This window comes from Homo sapiens, chromosome 9 (genome assembly GCF_000001405.40).
Source record: "Homo sapiens chromosome 9, GRCh38.p14 Primary Assembly".
NCBI classification, from domain to species: Eukaryota; Metazoa; Chordata; class Mammalia; order Primates; family Hominidae; genus Homo; species Homo sapiens.
The window spans coordinates 35790657-35812438 of NC_000009.12; the positions used below are offsets into that span (position 1 = coordinate 35790657).

Below are 21782 nucleotides of genomic sequence, written 5' to 3' on the forward strand. Positions count from 1 at the left end.
AAAATCCCCAAGGTCCCATAGCAGTCCCTCTCAGCCACCATGAGATCATCCCTCACAAGCTGTTCTTGGGGTCAGATTGGCACTCCAGATATGAGGGCCCTAGGGAGAGCTTCCTAAGGGAAGCTGGGAGCAAGGTGGAACCCCAGGAGAGCGTGGATGGGCTTCCACTGCGGGGAGTGTCCCGCCGGTCCGTTACAGGCTTTCCCCAGGCGCCAGCCTGCGCTGTGCAGGAGACAAAAGAAAATCGAGGCCCTGACTGAGCAGATGGTGCGGAGGAAGCCGGGCGGGCTGCGGTGGGCCTCTGAGGACACGAGGAGGGCAGGGGGCATGGAGACAGCGGGGGGCCGAGAGTTGAGTCCCAAGCAAGAAGGAGCCTCGTGGACTTTCTAAGGACTGGTGGGAAGTGTACAGCAGGGGCCCCTGGCTGCTGGAGGGGCCCGTCCAGGGAGCGGGCATGGTCCGCGGTGGAGTAAGCCGCACTGCCGTCGGGAGGGCGCTATGGTTTGCTAGGTGAGGGGGCTGGTGAGGATACCACACGTCTGGGGATCCTCGACTGCTTCCTGGAGACTGGAACCACTGAGGGACTCAGGGAGTTCAGAGGGGAGACCCAAGAAGAACGGGCTGAGCGAGGGGGAGAGGACAAACCCTGGGGTCGCTGGCGTGTGTGAGATGGAAATGGAAGGAGGGGCGGCAGGGGGACCAGGGGCGTGGGGGAGACCAGGGTAGGCCCTGAGAGTGAGGGAGCGCCCGGGAACCCTGCTGGCCGGCGAGGCCTTGGTGCGGAGCCCCCAAGTGCTCACCGGGGTGGGTTTGGGACCTGGCGGTCCCGAGCGCCCGGGTGGGGGGTGGGGGAAGGCAGCCGGCGCCGGAGGGTGGGGCCGGGAGGGAGGAGGAGAGGCAGCGGGGGAGGGGCGGGGGCGGGCGGCCTGCCCGGGGGAGTCGCACTCGGCCGCCGGCGCAGCGAGCGGAGACGGGCCGGGCCGAGGCGACCTGACCCGGACGAGCGGCGCGCGCGGGGCCCAGGCGGGGGGCGGGAGGAAGCGCCGGGCAGCGCCGGCCGCCAGGGCCCAGGAGAAGCGGAGCAGAGAGGAGCGGGGACACGGGCGGGGCCGCCGTAGCTCCGGATGGGACCAGCGCCCGGGCCCGTTAGTCCAAGCAGGAGCTCCGGGAGAATCCTTCACAGGGAGATTTACCCCTGCCTTCCCCTGCCCTCCGGCCCAGGCCTCGCTTCGCTCCCCGCCTGCCCATGATCCCAGTCCTTCCGCGGCGCGGGCACCCTCCCACCTTACCCCCTTGGTCCTATGTGGCGCAGCGCCCTCCTGCCCTCCCGGCCCTTTCAGCTGTGAGGTTCCCCCAGGCCGTTTCTTTGTACCACCCGCCCCCCACCCCCACCCCATCCCAGTCCCAGATCCCCTTTTCCTTCTCAGCTTTAGATTTATCAGGCTTCTTCACCTCGCACTGTCCCCATCCTGGCCGCAGGCCCCCTCGGTCCCTCCCTCCCCCTGCCACCCCGTTCTCAGTCCTCAGTCCTTGCCCTAGGCTGGTAGCCCACTCCTTGCCCGCCCCCCGCCTTCCTCCCATCTCCCCCTCCTCTCCCCGGCCCCCAGCACCTTCTGCATCCCAGCCTACCTAGCCTACTCCTCCTCTTCCTGGCCCTCTTCCCCAGGCTCCAGGCTGGGGGGTGCTCGCGTCTCCCCTGTAGGCCAGAGCAGCCCCAAGTTCTGGGGGCGGTGGGGCTGCTGCTTTATCCCCATGGCGCTGCCATCACTTCTGCTGTTGGTGGCAGCCCTGGCAGGTGGGGTGCGTCCTCCCGGGGCGCGGAACCTGACGCTGGCGGTGGTGCTGCCAGAACACAACCTGAGCTATGCCTGGGCCTGGCCACGGGTGGGACCCGCTGTGGCACTAGCTGTGGAGGCTCTGGGCCGGGCACTGCCCGTGGACCTGCGGTTTGTCAGCTCCGAACTGGAAGGCGCCTGCTCTGAGTACCTGGCACCGCTGAGCGCTGTGGACCTCAAGCTGTACCATGACCCCGACCTGCTGTTAGGTCCCGGTTGCGTGTACCCTGCTGCCTCTGTGGCCCGCTTTGCCTCCCACTGGCGCCTTCCCCTGCTGACTGCGGGTGCTGTGGCCTCTGGTTTTTCGGCTAAGAATGACCATTATCGTACCCTGGTTCGCACTGGCCCCTCTGCTCCCAAGCTGGGTGAGTTTGTGGTGACACTACACGGGCACTTCAATTGGACTGCCCGTGCTGCCTTGCTGTACCTGGATGCTCGCACAGATGACCGGCCTCACTACTTCACCATCGAGGGCGTCTTTGAGGCCCTGCAGGGCAGCAACCTCAGTGTGCAGCACCAGGTGTATGCCCGAGAGCCAGGGGGCCCCGAGCAGGCCACCCACTTCATCCGGGCCAACGGGCGCAGTGAGTGTGGCCTGGGCTATTTTAGGGTCATGGGAGGAGGGTCGCTGTGTCCCTAAAGCTCAGCACTGGGGAACTGTAGATGGAGATAGGCATTGAGCAGCTGTATGTGGTGGTTGGGATCAAGAAGCACACGTGGACAGAGCACCTGTGAGAGGGCCAAGGCTTCATCATGGGAGCTTGTGAACACCCTAGGCAGATGCAAACAAGGAAGAAGAGAGCATGAGGGGTGAAGCCTTGTATCAAGGTGGAATGTGAAAATGAGGGGATATTAAGTTTCGGGAGCAATGTTTGTGCCCTAGAGTAGTGAATGTGATTGATAGCCACTCTGAAATGTGCCCTGTCTGTGATCAGAGCTACCACCCAGACTGGGCGCCAAGACCCCTTGGTGGTGTAAAAATAATGAGGGCTCCATGAACGGACTCAGGGCTCAGCAGATTTGGGAAAGACAGATAAAGCTCATACTGAGAAATCTGTGCTGTCTGTGCCTTTGAGCCCAGGGAAGGGCAGGGAAGAGTCAGGGAGCAGGCCGGTTGGGTGGGGAGCAGCAAGGGAGGCTCTGGGAAAGGGAGGGGCTTGAGAGTGACAGCTCCCTTCCTCTGGGGTCTGGACAGGCTCTGACTTCTGCCAGATGGTCCATATGGCCCCAGGGTACTTATGGTGGACTCCAAGAGGGGTGGGCTGGGGAGCATCTGCTTTGGGGTTGATAGGTTAGGGCACTCTCTTTCTTGCTGAAGAGGGACATCCCAGTGATTCAGAGAGGGGGCTGTGTGGGGGACCTGGATACCTTCTCAGGGTGCTCCTCTGTCATGTACCTGCTCCCAGTTGTGTATATCTGCGGCCCTCTGGAGATGCTGCATGAGATCCTGCTTCAGGCCCAGAGGGAGAATCTGACCAATGGGGATTATGTCTTCTTTTACCTGGATGTCTTTGGGGAGAGTCTCCGTGCAGGCCCCACACGTGCTACAGGCCGGCCCTGGCAGGACAATCGCACCCGGGAACAGGCCCAGGCCCTCAGAGAGGCCTTTCAGGTATCATTTGAGCCAAATCTGAAGGAGGAGGGGGAAGAGGTGCTTCGCTGGAAATTCTCTCTCACAAGACCCTAAAGAAACCCTAGGAACCAGGCAGGAATTGTGAGCCACAGGAGTAAAATGAACAGAGGCATTCTGAGTCTAGTGTCACCCTTTCTTACTTCTCTACTTTTGTGACTCTTAGTGTGCTTGCTGCCAAGACTGACTTTGGCTGCCTCCAAAATCCTAAAACACTGACTTTCCTAAGTGCCAGTAGTAGGCTATATTGTGGGGGAGAAAAGTTCAGGAAGAGATCTGATCCTAGCCCTTGGGTGGGCTTCCACCCTTTATGGAGAGGTGAGGCATCGTTCTGGTACAGTCAGACAAAGTTTGAGAAAGGATATGATTATGTGTCCTGGAACAGACACTAAGAACTTTAGTGGCTCAGAGGAGGAAGAGTCAGTGTGGGCTGTGTTTAGGGAAGGCTTTTACACAGGAAGTGAGACCGTATTGTGACTTTAATGATAGATGTCATATTCATAGTCAGAGTGGGAGAGGAGATCCAAGCATCCTGAGCAAAGAGAAAAAGATAGGAATGGGCGTGTTTGAGAGACCAAGAAGATACTGACCCGACAAGAATGAGGGGTTCACTTAAAGGAGATACAGGAAATAAAGTTGCAAAGGTAGAATCAGATTAAGGAGAGCTCTAAGTCTTAAGGCACTAGGACTTGAATTTGGGGTCCTTGACTTTTTGTGTGTGTGTGTGTGTGTGTGGAGATAATTATACAGTAGTGACAGAATTCAGGATTAGAAGAGGGGGAGACCTGGGGCAGTGAGACCAACTGTAACAGATTAGAAGGGGGTGAGGTGATATAGCTTGAACTAGTGTGATGATAGCAGGAATGGAAAGAAACGCATTTCAGATTTCAGAAAATTTGTGGGGAATGTTGGCATGACTCTGTTCATTTCACTCCTGCTCAAAACTTTCAGTGACTTGTGTTCTAGAGAATAAAATCCTGACTCCTTATTGTGACATTTAAGACCTTCTGCAGTCTGTTCTCAAACCACTTTTTCAGTCTTACCTCCTGGTACCCTCATGCTGAGAACTGCAGCCTACCAGGCCTCTGAGTTCCCCCAACCCCAGGGCCTTCCTGCCCCTGTGCCTTTATGTTCTTTTTCCTTTTGTCTGGAATGCTCTTCCTTCCCTCATCCCAAATATCTGCCTCTCAAAATCATACCCATGAATCTTCCCGATTCCCCCGCCACTTTTTTACTAACCGTGCATATAAGTGTTTCCCGTGTATTTATCCATATCCCTCCTTTTTTCCAAGAAGGATTGGAGGTGGCTTATGGGATAACCTTAAAGTCCTTTAAACTCTGGGATTATTTGGTTCGAAGTAGCTGTGTATAAGGGCTGGACCTGGGTGGCCATTCTTCTCCAATAAGGTTTTATGTGGCTGTGATTATATATTTGGTTGCGACTGACGAGTGTGTGTCTGACTGAGAATGACATAGCTGTTTGCATGCCTGAGAATGAGTCTGTGACTGTCACACTTGAATATGGGCAGTGGCAGGGCAGGTTTTGTTTATGCCATAATGTTTTCCTAAAACAATCTTCTCACCTTTGTCTGGGTAATGCTTCCATATTCTTTAAGACTCATACCAGTTATTTTCCTTTCTAGGAAATGATCCCAGAATCCCTAAGTGGGACTGAATTTCCTACTCTTTTGCTTAACTCCATCTACCATAGAACTAACCATATTATTCAGTCTGTGTTTGATTTATTTGAAGGCTGACTCATTTCATTAGTATTTACTGAGCACCTATCATGTCCAGTCACTGTGCTAGGTACTGGTATACAAGGGAGAGCATAACAGACTTTGTTCCTGCCTTTTTGGAGTTTACATTTGGTAGGATGGGCAGGCAATAAATAAGTAAGCAAATAAATACAAATGTAGGAACATATTGTGATGTGTTACTAAAACATAAAGAGGAAAGGAATAGAGTGTTATGAAAAGAGAAGAACAAGGGGATTGTACTTCAGCTGGTGTGGACTGCAGAAGATCTGTGACCCTCTCAGATGGGAGCACTCCATAACCTTCCTGGTTATATCCTTTTTCTTTTTGAGACAGCTCTGTTGCCCAAGTTGGAGAGCAGTGGTGTGATCACAGCTGCTCACTGCAGTCTTGACCTCCCAGGCTGAAGCAATCCTCCCACTTCAGCCTCCCGAGTTGCTGGGACTACAGGCATATGACACCATGCCCAGATAATTTTTTATTTTTTATAGAGATGGGGTCTTATCATGTTGCCCAGGCTGGTCTCGAACTCCTGGGCTCAAATGATCTTCTTGCCTTGGCCTCTCAAAGTGCTGGGATTACAGGCATGAGCCACTGCGCCTTGCTGGCTGTATTCTATTTGTGGAAGAAAAGCCTCACTTTCTTCTGTGAGCATTATTGCCCAGCCAAGAGTCCCCAGCATTAAGGGTAGCTAGAGGAGGGATCTAGTCATCCAATAATCAGTTATATCAATTAACTCTCAGTTCTCCCCCTCACTGTGGGCATTATTCAGACAGAGAAATAAAGAGGGAATCTTTGCTGCAACACAAGAGAAGGGAACTAGGCACCAGGAATATGCTGATGGGAAGGTCAAGGCTTTGGGTAGGTGGGGCTGAGGGGTGATAAGGTGCCCCGCCCCCCACCTTCCAATGGGGAAGCAGGGGAGAGTCTGAGGGAAGTTGGGCAGTTAGCTACAGCCAAGCAAGGATGAAAGAGCACAGAGCCTTTCTCCCAGAGACACTGGCCCTCTGAGGTCCCAGACCAGGCCAGCCTGGAAAAGGTGGCAATAGAGGAAAGGAGGCCTTGACACAGATGCCCACAGCTTTTCCAGGAGGGTATCATGCTCAAGGAAAGGCCTTAGCTCATGCCGTATCGATACTGGCTACTAGGGAGAGAGCTCTGAAATCAAGTATGTTGATATGATTTTTCTCTCCCATTTAGCCACTAGCTGCTCCAGGGCAGGGATCATGCTCATCTTCATATTCCATATGTCTAGCATGTAGTAGGTGTTTAACACATATTTGCTGAATTGAATTAGGGGTGTGTTGGGGAGAGGGGGATAGGATGAGGAATTCACCTAGACAGGAGTAGAGCTGGCAAGTAATGTAAACTAGGTGATCAACCAGGATAGGGAAGAAAAGATTGAGTGGAACTAAATAAGCAATGACCAGGCTCTGAGGATCCAGAAGCCCAGGCTGGTCAATGGAGGACTACAGGGTTAGAAACCCAGGCAGAGGTCACAACCTACATGACCAGCATGAGATTGGGTTACACACAGGGAGCACCAGCGGCAAGAATGGAAGAAAGCACTAAACCAAGGGCTTGGAGATCACTTGTCTCATTAGGCCACTGTTGACCACTCTCCAGTTGGCCAGGGCAAGTCTCAGTGGGCGGGTCCACAGATAGAGGCAGGTGCCTCCTGAGGGTGCACATTTCCTAGGTGTGCTCCTGGCACCCACCCACCACTGCACCCATTTGTGGCGGACTTTGCTTGTTTTTTCCACCTGGGGTCCACTGTGAAATGGGACACAATTATCCTCCTTCACTTTCTCTCAAACCCCTGAGCAAGCACAGAAACTGTTTGAGGTTGGGTTTTTTTTTTTGGTTTGGTTTTTCATTTTTGTTTTTTGGTACTACAACTACAACTAGTAACCACAGCAAAAACAGTTCTAGCATAGCAGTTTAGGGGGACCATGGGGTCAAAACTATTTAAAAATAATACAAAGATCTTATCTGCTTTGTCACGCTTGTTCTTTTGTGATTGTGTAGGGAAGTTTTCCAGAGGTTACATGGCATGATGATGTCATCACTTGGACAGCTATGGAAGGTGTGCTTGTGTGTTCTTGCGTTTTCAAAATTTATCAGTTTTAATTTCTAAGATGGTCAATATTGATAGATATAGTCCACATAAACAAACTTTATTTGGGGTCCTTAATAATTTTTAAGAGTATAAAGCGATTGTGAGACCAAAAGTTTGATAACTGCTAGCCTAACAAACTAGCCAAACTTAGTGTTGAGAATTAGTGTTTAAAATGTGTTAAAAACCTATCATCAGCCTTTATTGAAATATAAATTGTGTTGAACCTGATCTTTTCTCGCCCTTTTCCTGACTTTTTACATTGCTTGTCAACAATATTCTACCTCTTTATTTTATTCTTGGAACAGGTGCTACTGAATGAACTATTTCAACCCTTTCCTCAATTCCCTTCTCTTTTTAAAAAAATTTTACCTGAGACTGGGAGAATGTTAGAAGTGTGTAATCAGGCAGCTAAATGCTCTAGTAAGAATAATGATATCTTGAGGCAAGCTGCAGTCTAATATAATATAATGAATGCATATTAGAAATCGACTTTATTATTTCCTATCTCTAATGAATTGATACATAATAGGCCATATGTGATGTGTCTAGTGCAGCGTATCTCTATGGTCCACATGTACTTTCTATGACAAGAATAAACAAAACTGGGAGAAATGACCGGATTTTAAATTATCATTTCACAAAGTCATGTTTCATAAAATATATTGAACTGAAGTCTTTCCTTGAAGTTGTGATGCCAGTTTCCTGTTGGAGCAGAAGTTGGTCTCAGTGACTATGTGGCCTGAGGCAGGGCCTGAGACTGGGAGGTCCAGCAGCTCAGGAAGGGGAAATGTGTGAGACTAATGGGAGCCAAGCAGGCACTTTGGTGAGAGACAGAGATGCTGACTCATGCGCCAGTGAGATGTGTGCATGTCTGAGATCACATGTGTCATTTGCTTACCTGTGAAATGTGTGTGGGCATGTGACTGTGTGTTTGTCCCTGTGACACATCTATTACTCAGTAAGCAGGACAGTGCTGTTTGTGGTAGGTGTTCCACACATTAAATGGATGAGCACACAGCTTTTCACAGGTGGAATCACTGTCTCAAAGTATTTCCCTCAGTTGTCATAGGGCCTGAAATCTCTCTAATTCACTGGGCGGAGACACTGTGTTCAAGTGGCCGAAATGACAATGTTAGTATTTTACTGATGACATTAACAGTGATTAACATCTCAGAGAGGAGCTGTTAGTGGGTGTTGTCCTTGATCATAAGCAGATACCCAGAAAGCATGGGACAGAGGAGCCGTGTGAGCTGTGGTGGCCTGGCAGGAACCTGGATGCTGGAAGGGAGCTCTGGAAGATGTTGGGCTGGGCTTTGGGGATGGGGTTGACTATTATTTGCCAGTTTCCACCTTCCCAGAACCAGTCCTATCTACCTTTCAGGAGGAGTGCCACTCCCTCTTCCCAGATGTATGCAACACAACACACACACACACACACACACACACACGCACACACACACGCAGAGAGAGAGAGGTTAGTAGCCCTTTCAAAGCCTTCAGACTCACCTGTGTATATTTTATATCATGTATATTTTACCAAGTTTCCCTGTCCTGCATCTTCTCTTCCCATAATGCCTATCTTGAATCCTGTTCACTCTTCCCCATATGCTGCTGGTACAGACTGTATTGGTGATCACGTACCGAGAACCCCCAAATCCTGAGTATCAGGAATTCCAGAATCGTCTGCTGATAAGAGCCCGGGAAGACTTTGGTGTGGAGCTGGGCCCTTCCCTGGTAAGTAGATCTCTCCCTTCCTGAGAGTCAGGTCAAGCTTTGGGGAAGGGCTTCTCTCCCAAACTCAGCATCAAGTCTTGGCTGTGGAGCAAGCCCAACTTTGGGGGGTCTCCGCTTCTGTCCAGGATTTTTCCTTCTGCCCTATGGAGTAGTTAGGAAGGGATGGCACTTTAGGAATAAGAGGGAAGAAAGCAAACCAGAAGAGAGAATAGGTAGAAGGGAGACCCCAGAGAGAGGGGAAGGGGCCTTGCAGGACATTTGGAGAGTACTGCTGAAGTTGCCACCCCCAGATGAACCTCATCGCTGGCTGCTTCTATGATGGGATCCTGCTATATGCTGAAGTCCTGAATGAGACAATACAGGAAGGAGGCACCCGGGAGGATGGACTTCGAATTGTGGAAAAGATGCAGGGACGAAGATATCACGGTAATGAAGAGGGGTCAATGGGGGTCTGAGGGCTGATGTCAGGAATAGAGTGGGCTGAAGAAGAAACAGATGTCAGGATCACCACAGCTTTAGTGGGGGTTAGTGAATATGGCAGAGTTGCCCACACCTCAAGATCGGGGAAGGGTAGACTCTGAGGGAGCCGTAGGCATGAGTGAGTGGGAGAGGAGCCCAGGGTAGACCTCAAAGAAAGGACACTCTTTTCTGTCTTAGGTGTAACTGGGCTGGTTGTCATGGACAAGAACAATGACCGAGAGACTGACTTTGTCCTCTGGGCCATGGGAGACCTGGATTCTGGGGACTTTCAGGTGATGGAGGAGGAGGCAGGGAAGAGAGTGTGGCCCTGCAAAATCCAGCTTTCAAGGGTTCAGTCGGGGCAGAACCAAAACTACTAGATGAGGGATTTGTTTTCTCTGCTGGCACTGCATCCTGGCTGGGTGGTAGGCTGGGGAGAAAAGCAGCGAAACAGCTGGGGTCTGGGGAGGAGGCTGGTGGGAGCAGGCCTGTGGGCCCAGCTTTTTGCTTCCTTACAGCCTGCAGCCCACTACTCGGGAGCTGAGAAGCAGATTTGGTGGACGGGACGGCCTATTCCCTGGGTGAAGGGGGCTCCTCCCTCGGACAATCCCCCCTGTGCCTTTGACTTGGACGACCCATCCTGTGATAAAAGTGGGTGTGTGCAGGGACTGGGAGCAGCTTTCCTCCCTTTGCTTTCCATTCATGGCCTCCACCCTCACTGACCCTCCACTCTTAACTGTGCTTCTGCCTTTACGTCTGCATCCCTCCCTCCTCATTTCTTCCTACTCCCAAGGAGTCTGTCTATGCACCTATGCACCCCGTTCTCCATTCTGCCAAGTCCGCACACAGTCTTCCTCAGGGTCTCTATTTCCCCTTCAGCTCCACTTTCAACCCTGGCAATTGTGGCTCTGGGCACAGGAATCACCTTCATCATGTTTGGTGTTTCCAGCTTCCTAATTTTCCGGTGAGTTCTGGGTTTCTTGCTGACCTACTCCCTGCCCCCATTGCCACACAACCTCTGGCTGAAGCCAGGTGGTCCCTATAATGTGGGATAGGGTAGTAGGTTTCTTAATTTGCTGGTTGTCTCTTAGATCCAACAGCGTCTTCCTCTCTAGCCTTTCTCTTTAGTTGTCGCTTAGCCTAGGTGTTTGTTCCACTTTTGGTCCTAGACTGGATATACTAACTAGTGTTTTTCAGTGGGGTTAAGATCAAAGGTGAATTTTCCATTGGTCTTCTTTTAGGAAAGAACTTTCACCCCCAGTCTCTGTGTTTGTTAGTGAGCATAGGGCATGTGCCAGATATGCCGAGAATGCAGCCTTATCTTCCAGCCCTGTCTCTCAGGTGTAACAGTTGCAGCTTCAGGAGCTGCAGGGAAGCCCCTGCAACCCTGCTGTTGGCTTGGGGGTGGCAGGATTCGGCTTGCCAGTCAACTGAGGTGTGCAGTCCTTACAGAAAGCTGATGCTGGAGAAGGAGCTGGCTAGCATGTTGTGGCGTATTCGCTGGGAAGAACTGCAGTTTGGCAACTCAGAGCGTTATCACAAAGGTGCAGGCAGTCGCCTCACACTGTCGCTGGTGAGCCCTTGTCTCAGCTGTTCCTCTGCCTCCCTCTGAGTTCCTGTCCCTTCTTACCCTGGATCTCTCCCAGCACATTGGCTTGTAATGATAGCCCCTGCACTACCACCATCATCTAATGTTCCTTTCATCCTTCCGCCTCCATGTTGCCCTTGGCCCCAGCGGGGATCCAGTTACGGCTCGCTCATGACAGCCCATGGGAAATACCAGATCTTTGCCAACACCGGTCACTTCAAGGTGAACAGTCATTTGCTTGTTCTGGTCCCCACCATTTCATCCTGTCTCATCCCCATCTGCCACCTCTGCCCCTGAACCTCTGTCCCTCATACCCGACTCTCTGTGCCCAGCTGAGCTCCTGGGTGCTTCCACTGCTCTCTAGCATTTCCTTGTACCCAGAACTTCTGATATTCACTTTCCTTTCCCCTTTCACTCCCACCATCAGGGAAATGTTGTCGCCATCAAACATGTGAATAAGAAGCGCATTGAGCTGACCCGGCAGGTTCTGTTTGAACTCAAACATGTATGTAACAGAGGATGGACTCTAACATGTATGTAATGGAGGAGTGGGGAAAACTATGAAATAGTAAAATTGGCTAGATGGGCAAGGGGTTGATTTATAAATGATTTTAAAATCGTAGATACAACTAAGAGAAAGGTCCTCTTATGTAGTGGTAAGTTTCTGTATCTAATTTTTAACTCTTTCAATTTTCTTATCCTTCCCATTGTTTTTTTCTGCCAGATGAGAGATGTTCAGTTCAACCATCTCACTCGCTTCATTGGCGCCTGCATAGACCCTCCCAACATTTGCATTGTCACTGAATACTGTCCTCGTGGGAGTTTACAGGTGAGGGATAGGTGTAGGAGATTATGGCAGGGGTGGGAAGGATAGACCCAAAGTTATACTGACTCTATGCTGGGTGATAGCTGGTGGGACCAGGACAGACAGTCTATTCCATGTCACTTACCAGGATATTCTAGAAAATGACAGCATCAACTTGGACTGGATGTTTCGTTATTCACTCATTAATGACCTTGTTAAGGTGAGTCTTCCCCACTCCTTAAAAGTTCATCCACTTTAAATCACTTCCACTGTTCTTTGATTGTGGTTTTTCTCCTTCTAGTCCTCTGAAGTCCTGTTCTCTCATCTCCCCTTATTCCCATGGTCTGGTAATAATGGGTAAACAAGGAGTCTGGGGCTTATAACTGGGACAGTGAGTTTTACCTGCCACAAGGAGTCCTGTGCCTGTAGAGAGTTTCTATCTTTCTGTCTTAAATATCTCAGGTCTCTTTCCATCATCTCTTTTACCTCTAAGAACTCATAAAATGAGTGGAGTCTCTGAACATATTTTTTTTTTTTTGAGACGGAGTCTCGCTCTGTCGCCCAGGCTGGAGTGCAGTGGCGGGATCTCGGCTCACTGCAAGCTCCGCCTCCCGGGTTCACGCCATTCTCCTGCCTCAGCCTCCCAAGTAGCTGGGACTACAGGCGCCCGCCACTACGCCCGGCTAATTTTTTTGTATTTTTAGTAGAGACGGGGTTTCACCGTTTTAGCCGGGATGGTCTCGATCTCTTGACCTCGTGATCCGCCCGCCTCGGCCTCCCAAAGTGCTGGGATTACAGGCGTGAGCCACCGCGCCCGGCCTGAACATATTTATCTCTTGTTTTTCCTCTCATTATTTTACTCTCCGAACATATTTATCTCCTGTTTTTCCTCTCATTATTTTACTCTCTGACCAATATTTGGCATGTCTGCCCTTTTGTTCAGAAAACTGAAATTTAAAAAAGGAACATTTACTAGTAGAACTAAGAGAAACCAAGGAAGATTGTACTAAAAACCTTTGGTACTCTTCTGTTATACTAGGTTTTAGCTATGTTCAAATGACTCAGAGGCCCATGGATTTGTGGAGCATAAAATAGAATCTTGCATGAGTTGGACAGGTTTTCTGAAATAAGTCTCATAGCCAATGAGCATCCCAGTGGATCACCCCACACTGTATCTGAAACTAGCTTTGGTTTTCTGCTGAATTCTCATGAAGTTATTTAAAAAGTATTTTTTTGTGTGTGAAAATTTGCTATCAAATGAGAGATAAAAATATTAGTAAAGCCAATGTCATGCTCAACTAGAGGTGTGATGATAAACATAAGACACGACTCTTGAGAGAACAGTGATTTGGTGGAAAAGTGATTTACAACAAAGCCAGAAGCCTAATCCTGTGATTGTTGAAGGCATCCTTTGCACAGTTTCCACACAAGTAAATTCACAACTTCAGAGATTCCCAAAAGTTTTGTTGATACCAAAATAAATAAAAAGGAAGAATTCATAGAGATTAGAGTTATGAATTAAGTCCAGAGCTAAACATTTAGACAGAAATGTTTTTTGTTAGCATATTGAACCTTGTATCCTCTTTCTGTCTCACCTGAACTGACTTGGGTGGCTCCTAGGGTTTCATTTTTGGGGAGCATCATTAAGACTTTTTTTTTTTTTTTTCTGAGACAGGGTCTTATTCTGTCACCCAGGCTAGAGTGTAGTGGCTAGGTCACTGCTCACTGCAGCTTCGACCTCCTGGGCTCAAGTGATTCTCCCATCTTAGCCTCCTGAGTAGCTGGGACCACAGCGTGTGCTGCAGTGCCCGGCTCATTTTTATATTTTTGGTAGAGGTGGGGTTTCGCCATGTTGCTGAGGCTGGTCTTGAACTGCTGGGCTCAAGCAATCTGCCAGCCTTGGCCTCCCAAAGTGCTGGGATTACAGGCATGAGCCACTGAGCCCGGCCTTTAAGACTGTCTTTCAGCTCCTCGGAGGCAAAGGTTTTTCCCTCTCTGGACCCACAGAGCCAGCAGTTTTAGGCTTCTGCACTGGCTTAGCAGATTTTGTCCATTTTCCAGGTTTATGATGTTCTGCACTTTCTCTCTGATCCAGCATTCCCTCTAGTAGATCTTGTTCCTCCTCTACCCCGACTTGCCCACCTCCCTCTAGTAGATCTTATTCCTCCTCTACCCCGACCTGCCCACCTCCCTCTAGTAGATCTTGTTCTTCCTCTACCCCGACCTGCCCACCTCCCTCTAGTAGATCTTGTTCCTCCTCTACCCCGACCTGCCCACCTCCCTCTAGTAGATCTTGTTCCTCCTCTACCCCGACCTGCCCACCTCCCTCTAGTAGATCTTGTTCCTCCTCTACCCCGACCTGCCCACCTCCCTCTAGTAGATCTTGTTCCTCCTCTACCCCGACCTGCCCACCTCCCTCTAGTAGATCTTGTTCCTCCTCTACCCCGACTTGCCCACCTACGCCTGGTTATGCATTAAAGTTTACAACTGGTCTTCCTTGGTATATCCAGCTACTCTTGATACCTGGGTCTCAAGTCATGTCTTCCTAATTAGTAGCCAGGTATCTGAGGCCACCATGGGTGTTATATCATTTTGGTCTTCACCCAAGTTCTGTTCTCTTCACTAATCAAGAAGATTGACTGCCCTCTCCAGGGTAGTCATTTGTAGCTCCACTTATCCCTCTTTTTAAGCATTTTCCCTGTCCCTGGTGGCTGGGTGCCTGTGTCCTGCTTATGATACCAGGAACAGATGACTCTTCTGTTCTTCCTGCTTCCTTGGGTGGAAACTGCAAAGGATGCCTTCCAAAATCAGCTTATTATTTTTGTGGACCCAAGATCTGTAGACAGCTAGCCAGTGCCCATCTCATGGAGAGAGGGTATTCTAAGCCAGATATGATCCAATCCCATGACTTGATCTGTACCCTGCAGGGCATGGCCTTTCTCCACAACAGCATTATTTCATCGCATGGGAGTCTCAAGTCCTCCAACTGTGTGGTGGATAGTCGTTTTGTGCTCAAAATCACAGACTATGGCCTGGCCAGCTTCCGATCAACTGCTGAACCTGATGACAGCCATGCCCTCTATGCCAGTGAGGCCCACCCCCACAACCCACTTTTTATATTGCTCCTCTTTCCACCTAGGGATGGTGGGAGAGGGAGGTGGAGTGACAGTAATATAGGGATGAGCCCAGGTGGGCTTGGGGGTGCCCCATTTCGGGGGACCTGGCCAGCCGGTTTCCTCTTTTCAGAGAAGCTGTGGACTGCCCCAGAACTGCTCAGTGGGAACCCCTTGCCAACCACAGGCATGCAGAAGGCTGACGTCTATAGCTTTGGGATCATCCTGCAGGAGATAGCACTTCGCAGTGGTCCTTTCTACTTGGAGGGCCTGGACCTCAGCCCCAAAGGTAAGAGTCAATCCACTACCCACAGCCTCTTCTTCCTGGGGGAACTCTGTTCTTCATCCAAACCTTTGATCACCCTCAGAGATTGTCCAGAAGGTACGAAATGGTCAGCGGCCATATTTCCGGCCAAGCATTGACCGGACCCAACTGAATGAAGAGCTAGTTTTGCTGATGGAGCGATGTTGGGCTCAGGACCCAGCTGAGCGGCCAGACTTTGGACAGATTAAGGGCTTCATTCGGCGCTTTAACAAGTGAGAGGGCATTATGGGGCAGGGGCTTCCCAGGGATAGAAGACTCATTAGTCCTAGTGCATGAAGTGGGGCAGGTGGGACCAGAGGGTGGGTTGGATAGGAAGTCCTGGGAATCTTCAGAATCTTAGAGCAAGTGCCTTATCCTGGCCTCCCTCTAGGGAGGGTGGCACCAGCATATTGGACAACCTCCTGCTGCGCATGGAACAGTATGCCAATAACTTGGAGAAGCTGGTGGAGGAACGCACACAGGCCTATCTGGAGGAAAAACGCAAGGCTGAAGCTCTGCTCTACCAAATCCTACCCCAGTGAGACTTTGTCCCCCTTCCTGTATTTTCTTTTGGGATTCTGCTCTGTTGGGCTCTGCCTCATCAGGCACCTGAGAACTCGCCTCCCCACCCTCAGAACCCTGCTGGCCACAGGGAGCACCCCTGCTTATAGATTATTTGCTGTCATTCTGTCTCCACATCAGCTATGCTGCCTTCTTACTGGCTGCCCATCCCTTCTTCTTAAGACCCTGCTCTACCACACCCTTGCTTCAGCAAGTGTATGTAAAACAGTCCCAACTTGAGACAGCTCCCATGCACAGGGATTCCCCTCAAACCCCCCCGCCACTTGTGTGCCTTACCTTGCATTAGACTGTAATGTCTTCCCAGCCACTTTCCTCCCTCCCACCTGAAAAGCCTAGCTTTCTTGTTACAGCTCATCTCTGCTGCAGCCACATACACTTTCCCTCTCTCTTCCACTCCTGCTCTCTTGGAGTTTGGCTCATACGGCACCCTTGCTTCCTAGTTCAGTGGCAGAGCAGTTAAAACGGGGAGAGACTGTACAGGCTGAGGCCTTTGACAGTGTTACCATCTACTTCAGTGACATTGTTGGCTTCACAGCATTGTCAGCAGAGAGCACCCCCATGCAGGTGAGAGCCATGGGTGAGAGGTGGCGGGTGGGGTTGGGTGGGTAGGGACCTGGGGAAGCCTCATTGATAATAGGAAAGATGAGTTTGTTCTAGAGTTCCCACATCTTTTGATGGCTTGTGGGTTAAGAATTCTTAGAAAATTGGGCACAAGTCTCAGGGCCTCTGCTTTTCTATCCCTTTTAGGTAGTGACACTTCTTAATGACCTGTATACCTGCTTTGATGCCATAATTGACAACTTTGATGTCTACAAGGTGAGAGCTGGGGCCGCTGTTCAATAGAAGACCCTTTAATAGAGACCCGCTTTGAAACTCAGTCTCCCTGAACCCCACACACCTTACCCACCCCATGATCAGTTTTCCCTCCAGGGTACTCAGCATCCTGGTGCTGGAGTGTACTTCGTAGACAGATGTAGCTCCAGCACTATAATTGTACACTCCAGTCGAATTTCTTGTGAATCCTTTGACTTCCCTAATCAGAACCATCATGAGATTTAGCTCCTATCTTCCTGGAGTATAAATACAGCCTATCCAACATTTCTCTCCAGTCCTCTCCAGACATGGAAGAATCATATAGGATGTGGGTCCAGACTGATTTAGTGGGGTGAGGGAAAATATATTTTAAAAAGTAAAACTTTTTGTTGAAGTTATTGAGTTGGATTTATTGTCCTTGGGAGTAAAAATCATCTGGATTTGAATATTGGCTTGTTGCTAACTGTGTGGCCTTAGGTAAGTCACAGAATCTCCCTGAGCCTCAGTTGTTTTATCTGTAAGATGGGAATAATAGATTCGTTGTATGGAAAGTACCTAACATTGTTTGGCATGTGGCAGACTACTATTTAGGGATAACTACTTTATCCCTAAATACTTAGTGTGTATTTCCTAAAAACTTCACTGTGTATTTCCTTAAAACAATGGCATTTATTCTCTTACATAGCTTTGGCACAATTACCAAAATCAAATGCCTGCTTTCCTCCTCTCTGACAGTTTGGGCTGTCAGGTCCATTTCACTGGGCCTGCTTTACCTCCTCACCAGCCTCTGTCCTCTTGAGTTACCGTTTTCTTGCTTCCCATTTCCTGATGGCAGAGCCTATTTGTCCATGTCCTGCTGCAGACAGGGTGTTCATTCATTCCGCAAATGTTTACTGAGTATTCACCAGGTGCTGGGTGGAGAAAGAAGACTTAAAGATTCCCTAGACATCTCCTCTCCCCTAGACTCAGGACCATGGCACTTATTTTCTAGTCAATATTCTGGTCTCCAGCATGTCAGGATGATTAATGATGGTGTCAAGCTTGTCTCCCTCTACTTTTTCCCATCCCCATGGATATAAATAGAGGTGACCTTTTAATCCCCCTCTCAATCAGGTGGAGACGATTGGGGATGCTTACATGGTGGTATCTGGCCTCCCAGGCCGAAATGGTCAACGCCATGCACCAGAAATTGCTCGTATGGCCCTAGCATTACTAGATGCAGTTTCTTCCTTTCGCATCCGCCACCGACCCCATGACCAGCTGAGGCTACGCATAGGGGTCCATACTGGTAAGGCTGACTCTCACTCCAGCCCTAGTCTCCACCTTTCCCAGACTCTCCCAACCTGTTTCTTCTCAAAGGGCCAGTCTGTGCTGGGGTTGTTGGCCTGAAGATGCCCCGTTATTGTCTTTTTGGAGACACAGTGAACACTGCTTCTCGAATGGAGTCTAATGGTCAAGGTAAGACATTAGCCCTCAACCCCACTGTTGGCCTCAATTTATCTTGCCCTTTTCTTCTTTTCATAATCCCTCCAATTTCTTAATCTGAGAGACCACAGTTCCTTAGTGTCGCATCCTCGGGCATATTTTGGTTCTAATAGATATGCATTGGGAGGTTGGGCATATTTTGGTCCTAATAGATATGCATTGGGAGCTTCCCAGGGATGGTTGGTCGGGCACGGTGCTATACAGTATCACCAATTATTTGATTGCCTTTTCTTTGATTCCTCATTCCACCATCCTCCCCATTCCACCCACCCCAGCGCTGAAGATCCATGTCTCCTCTACCACCAAGGATGCCCTAGATGAGCTAGGATGCTTCCAGCTAGAGCTTCGGGGGGATGTGGAAATGAAGGTGATGGCAGGCCATGGGGAGGGGGGCATGGAAAGGGAGGGTGAAAGTGATTATGGGAATCATAGGGAAAGAGAGGGAGACAAAGGGACTAACATCGAAGCATCTGAATCATGTCCACTCTCCCACTTCCAGGGAAAAGGAAAGATGCGAACATACTGGCTCTTAGGAGAGCGGAAAGGACCTCCTGGACTCCTGTAAACCCCCATTCTTTCCAAGTCAGATAGTCTTCTGCTGCTGGTACCTGGGTGGGCAATGGCCACCATGTCTGCACACACCAGAAATGGACATTTTCATATGCAATGGAAAACAGCCACAAAAAAACCTACCTTATATGGAAGTTGTAGCCCTCTGCAGCTCAGCCCTGTACATATACCTGTCCCTCTCTGGCTTGGTCCCCTTCCTCCCTACTTTCTGTAAATATCTGTATCTAAACCAGAATATTTTGGTCAAATATAAAACAATAATAAAAAAAGTTCTGATGTCATAGTGTGGGATAGGGGCAATCCCAAGGAAAGGTTATGGGGTATGCACACAGTGACTCACAGAATCACTAAATTAGCAGTCTTGGGATGAGAGAGAACCCTTTATGTAAAGCCTCTTCAAGTACAGTGAGAATTAACTTCCTCCCGACCTCTCTAGTGCAGACAGAAATAGATTCCATATTCCATACCCCACTTCCCTCCTCACCCCTCAGAAAGGAGTCATTCTCCCCCCTCCACCACCCAGCCTTCCTCCGGGACAGGGAAGGGAAGATATTTCTCCCAATTGGTAGGGGTAATTCTCAGGTTCATAGGGCAAAAGTTTCCCCAGAGACAAGGGTACTGGTGTTGAGAAGCTGCAGTTCTTCCGGAATGGTGTGTCCAATGTCCTGATGTTACTGACACCCTGGAGGAGTGCCAGGATGAGGATGGATCCCACTCTCCCCAAGCCAGAACAAAACAACTCTGCCCTACCTTTCCTGCCCCGCTCTGCCCCCAACACCTAGTCACCCTCACACACCGGCAGCTGTGGTGCCCTCTGTATCCAGAAGGTCTCAGGTTGCTCCTGGCGGTAGTCGTGAGGCTGTGAGGGAGGGTACTGAGTAACTCCTGGCCTTCAGCCCTCTCTCTCAACCTCTGGGCTTGGTACTTGGCCACAGCCTGTCAGAGCCCAGCTGGTGCAAGTGGCGGGGGATGGGGGGTGGGTTCTCACCTTTGTTGGGGCAGGAGTCCCTGCTTGTGCCAGCTCCATTCGGTAGTCATGGTGTGTCACAGACTCAACCTCGAAGAGCTTCCTTGTGGGTTCCTGTTCTGCCTGCACCTCTTTACTATGTAGCCCGAGGGGTGTCAAGGCCATTCTCACCCAATTTTTCTCCTCCCCATCCCTCTTCCCCTTTACCCAATCCCTTACCAGATCTGATGCTGCAGGAGCATCTCCAGCATGGCTTCACGCTTCCCTGTGAGAGAGTTGGGGGGTGGGCAAGGTGGGGTCTGGTTAAGAAGGAGGCCCAGAAGAAACTAACTTGAGAAAAGGAAGAAGAACCTTGGGGTTCCGCCCTTATATCCACTGGAGAATCCACAGCCCCACCAGAAATTCCTTCCTCTTCTTCCCTCTGAGTAATGGGCTCGTTCTGGCCTACCCTCTCACATTTCACACCTCGAAGTGGCCAATAGACGTTTCCTGGTGGCTGGTACGAGTCTTTCTGGGTGGTGCTGGAGGGCATGGGTGACTTTAGTTGCATAGTCAGCAGTCCCCGGTGTCCGTGTCGGAAGAAAAAACTCTCAGAGCCATCCTGCATGCTTGGGACTTGATCCAGGTGGTTGGTGGCTCTCTGTGGATCCCAAGTTGAATGACTATAATATCCCTTCTGGTACCCACCCTCATGTAAACTACTGCCTCCCCTAAGAAACTGAGGGCAGCCTTCAAGAAAAGGGAGCAGGCCAAAACTTTAATACCTCTTCCTCCCAGTTGTAGAGGAGGCACTGGCCCCGCGGCAAAGTTTCATAGCAAACCATAAGCTTCCCTTTAATGTCTGGGGGTTTCCATAGTCCTCGGGCACCCGGTTCTAAGACTTGCAAAAATTCCCAAGGTGGTTGTTTCTGGGGCTCCCAGGGGCAGTGCTGACTCCAGGAGGTATAGTTAGGGACCCGATCTGCCACCAGGTTTCTGAACCCTGGAGGAATACAGGGGCTGAGCTCAGAGTCAGGGCCAGTGTCTGGACCAGGCCCAGAGGCAGGACCAGGATGAGAGCCAGAGCCATGACCAGGACCAGAGCCAGGACCAGAGCCAGGACCAGGACCAGAGCCAGAGCCAGGGACAGAGCCACAGCCAGGACCAGAGCCAGAGCCAGAGCCATGGCCAGCACCTGAGCTGGAACCAAGAACAGGCCCAGAGCTAGAGCCTGGAACAGGGCCAGGATTAGAACTATGGTCAGTTGTAGTGCAAGTGTCCTGAGCAATACAGGAAACATAGACGGGCTCAAAGCCAAGACTCCCATGGGCTATATTGTGGGTAAAGCCGGGTCCCGCACAGGGCTCCCCAAGAAGGCTGGGGTCAGAGGACGGCTCCATGAACTCAGAACAGGGCGCTGGGGTCTTTGTAGATAATGCAGCTGCTTTGGCAGTGGTGAAGGCTGCAGTAGCTGCAGCAGCTGATGCAGCCGCTGCAGCTGCTGCGGTTGCAGCTGCCAGGGCCGACCTGGGACTGTCATCTGAAGAAGGAAACGGTTCCGAAGTGGGCCCCAGTCCTTCGGAGCTGGGCTGTATGTCTAAAGATCTGAAAGAAAGCAAACACGACATGGCTGTCAAAAGCGCAGCAGAGGAAGTCAGCTGACCTTCCTCGTCCCCTTATGCCTGCAGCCAGAGCTGCGGCTCTCACCGCGACCGCGACCGCGATCCCTCCGTAGACTCGTTGGTCTCCATCTTCAGACTCCAGCTACTGGGTTGCCATAGAGACAGCAAACAACTCCTGGAGCCTGCGCAGAAGTACAGCTGGGCGGACTTGCAGGTGGCGGTGGAGGCAAGTCCTCTGCGGGGCGGAAGTCTTCAGCCTAGTGCTGTTAGGGAGGTCCGCTTTCCGGTCCCGGCGGCATTCCGCCTCAGACGGGGTTTTAGGGTTCCGCTGGCTTAAGACCTCGCCCTCCACGTCCAAACAGTCTTTGCGTGCGGTTTTCTAAGATGATGCTTTATGGGGATATGTTGGAAACAGGCACA

General features: G+C 50.6%; 2 protein-coding genes across 13 annotated transcripts, besides 3 other annotated features; one reads left to right on the forward strand and one right to left on the reverse strand.

The window, feature by feature from the left end:
- NPR2 (natriuretic peptide receptor 2) lies at positions 935-19075 on the forward strand. 4 transcript variants are annotated; one of them, NM_001378923.1, is made up of 22 exons: positions 935-2419; positions 3242-3447; positions 8962-9075; positions 9366-9501; positions 9733-9827; positions 10053-10185; positions 10414-10498; positions 10978-11107; positions 11270-11344; positions 11550-11627; positions 11847-11951; positions 12076-12147; positions 14855-15014; positions 15174-15329; positions 15409-15577; positions 15736-15882; positions 16367-16490; positions 16674-16742; positions 17853-18027; positions 18099-18197; positions 18500-18591; positions 18724-19075. In NM_001378923.1, exons 1-22 carry the CDS (start codon positions 1753-1755, stop codon positions 18787-18789), a joined length of 3153 nt encoding a protein of 1050 aa, NP_001365852.1. In that variant the 5' UTR covers positions 935-1752; the 3' UTR covers positions 18790-19075. The 4 variants fall into 4 exon arrangements, with proteins under 4 accessions (NP_001365852.1, NP_003986.2, XP_047279387.1 ...); NM_003995.4 differs by having other exon boundaries at positions 10987-11107; XM_047423431.1 differs by lacking the exons at positions 935-2419; positions 3242-3447; positions 8962-9075; positions 9366-9501; positions 9733-9827 and having other exon boundaries at positions 10097-10189.
- Positions 8286-8345: a silencer, noted in NCBI's record as "silent region_19880". NCBI's record gives its function as "represses an Ori minimal core promoter by ATAC-STARR-seq in GM12878 lymphoblastoid cells {active_cell/tissue: GM12878}" and the evidence as "EXISTENCE:reporter gene assay evidence [ECO:0000049][PMID:35858748]".
- On the reverse strand, positions 17129-21606 carry SPAG8 (sperm associated antigen 8). Of its 9 annotated transcripts, NM_172312.2 has the most exons (8): positions 21448-21606; positions 20526-21345; positions 20227-20401; positions 19981-20026; positions 19783-19897; positions 19591-19653; positions 18748-18856; positions 17129-17650 (listed from the first exon to the last, which is right to left on the reverse strand). In NM_172312.2, exons 1-8 carry the CDS (start codon positions 21489-21491, stop codon positions 17517-17519), a joined length of 1506 nt encoding a protein of 501 aa, NP_758516.1. In that variant the 5' UTR covers positions 21492-21606; the 3' UTR covers positions 17129-17516. The 9 variants fall into 9 exon arrangements, 8 of the variants coding, with proteins under 8 accessions (NP_758516.1, NP_001353689.1, XP_024303280.1 ...); NM_001039592.2 differs by lacking the exons at positions 17129-17650; positions 18748-18856 and adding an exon at positions 19139-19476; XM_024447510.2 differs by lacking the exons at positions 17129-17650; positions 18748-18856 and adding an exon at positions 19139-19476 and having other exon boundaries at positions 20218-20401.
- Positions 21124-21680: an enhancer, noted in NCBI's record as "H3K4me1 hESC enhancer chr9:35811777-35812333 (GRCh37/hg19 assembly coordinates)". NCBI's record gives its function as "activates a minimal SCP1, AML or CMV promoter by ChIP-STARR-seq in naive H9 embryonic stem cells {active_cell/tissue: H9 hESC(naive)}" and the evidence as "EXISTENCE:reporter gene assay evidence [ECO:0000049][PMID:30033119]".
- Positions 21375-21424: an enhancer, noted in NCBI's record as "active region_28337". NCBI's record gives its function as "activates an Ori minimal core promoter by ATAC-STARR-seq in GM12878 lymphoblastoid cells {active_cell/tissue: GM12878}" and the evidence as "EXISTENCE:reporter gene assay evidence [ECO:0000049][PMID:35858748]".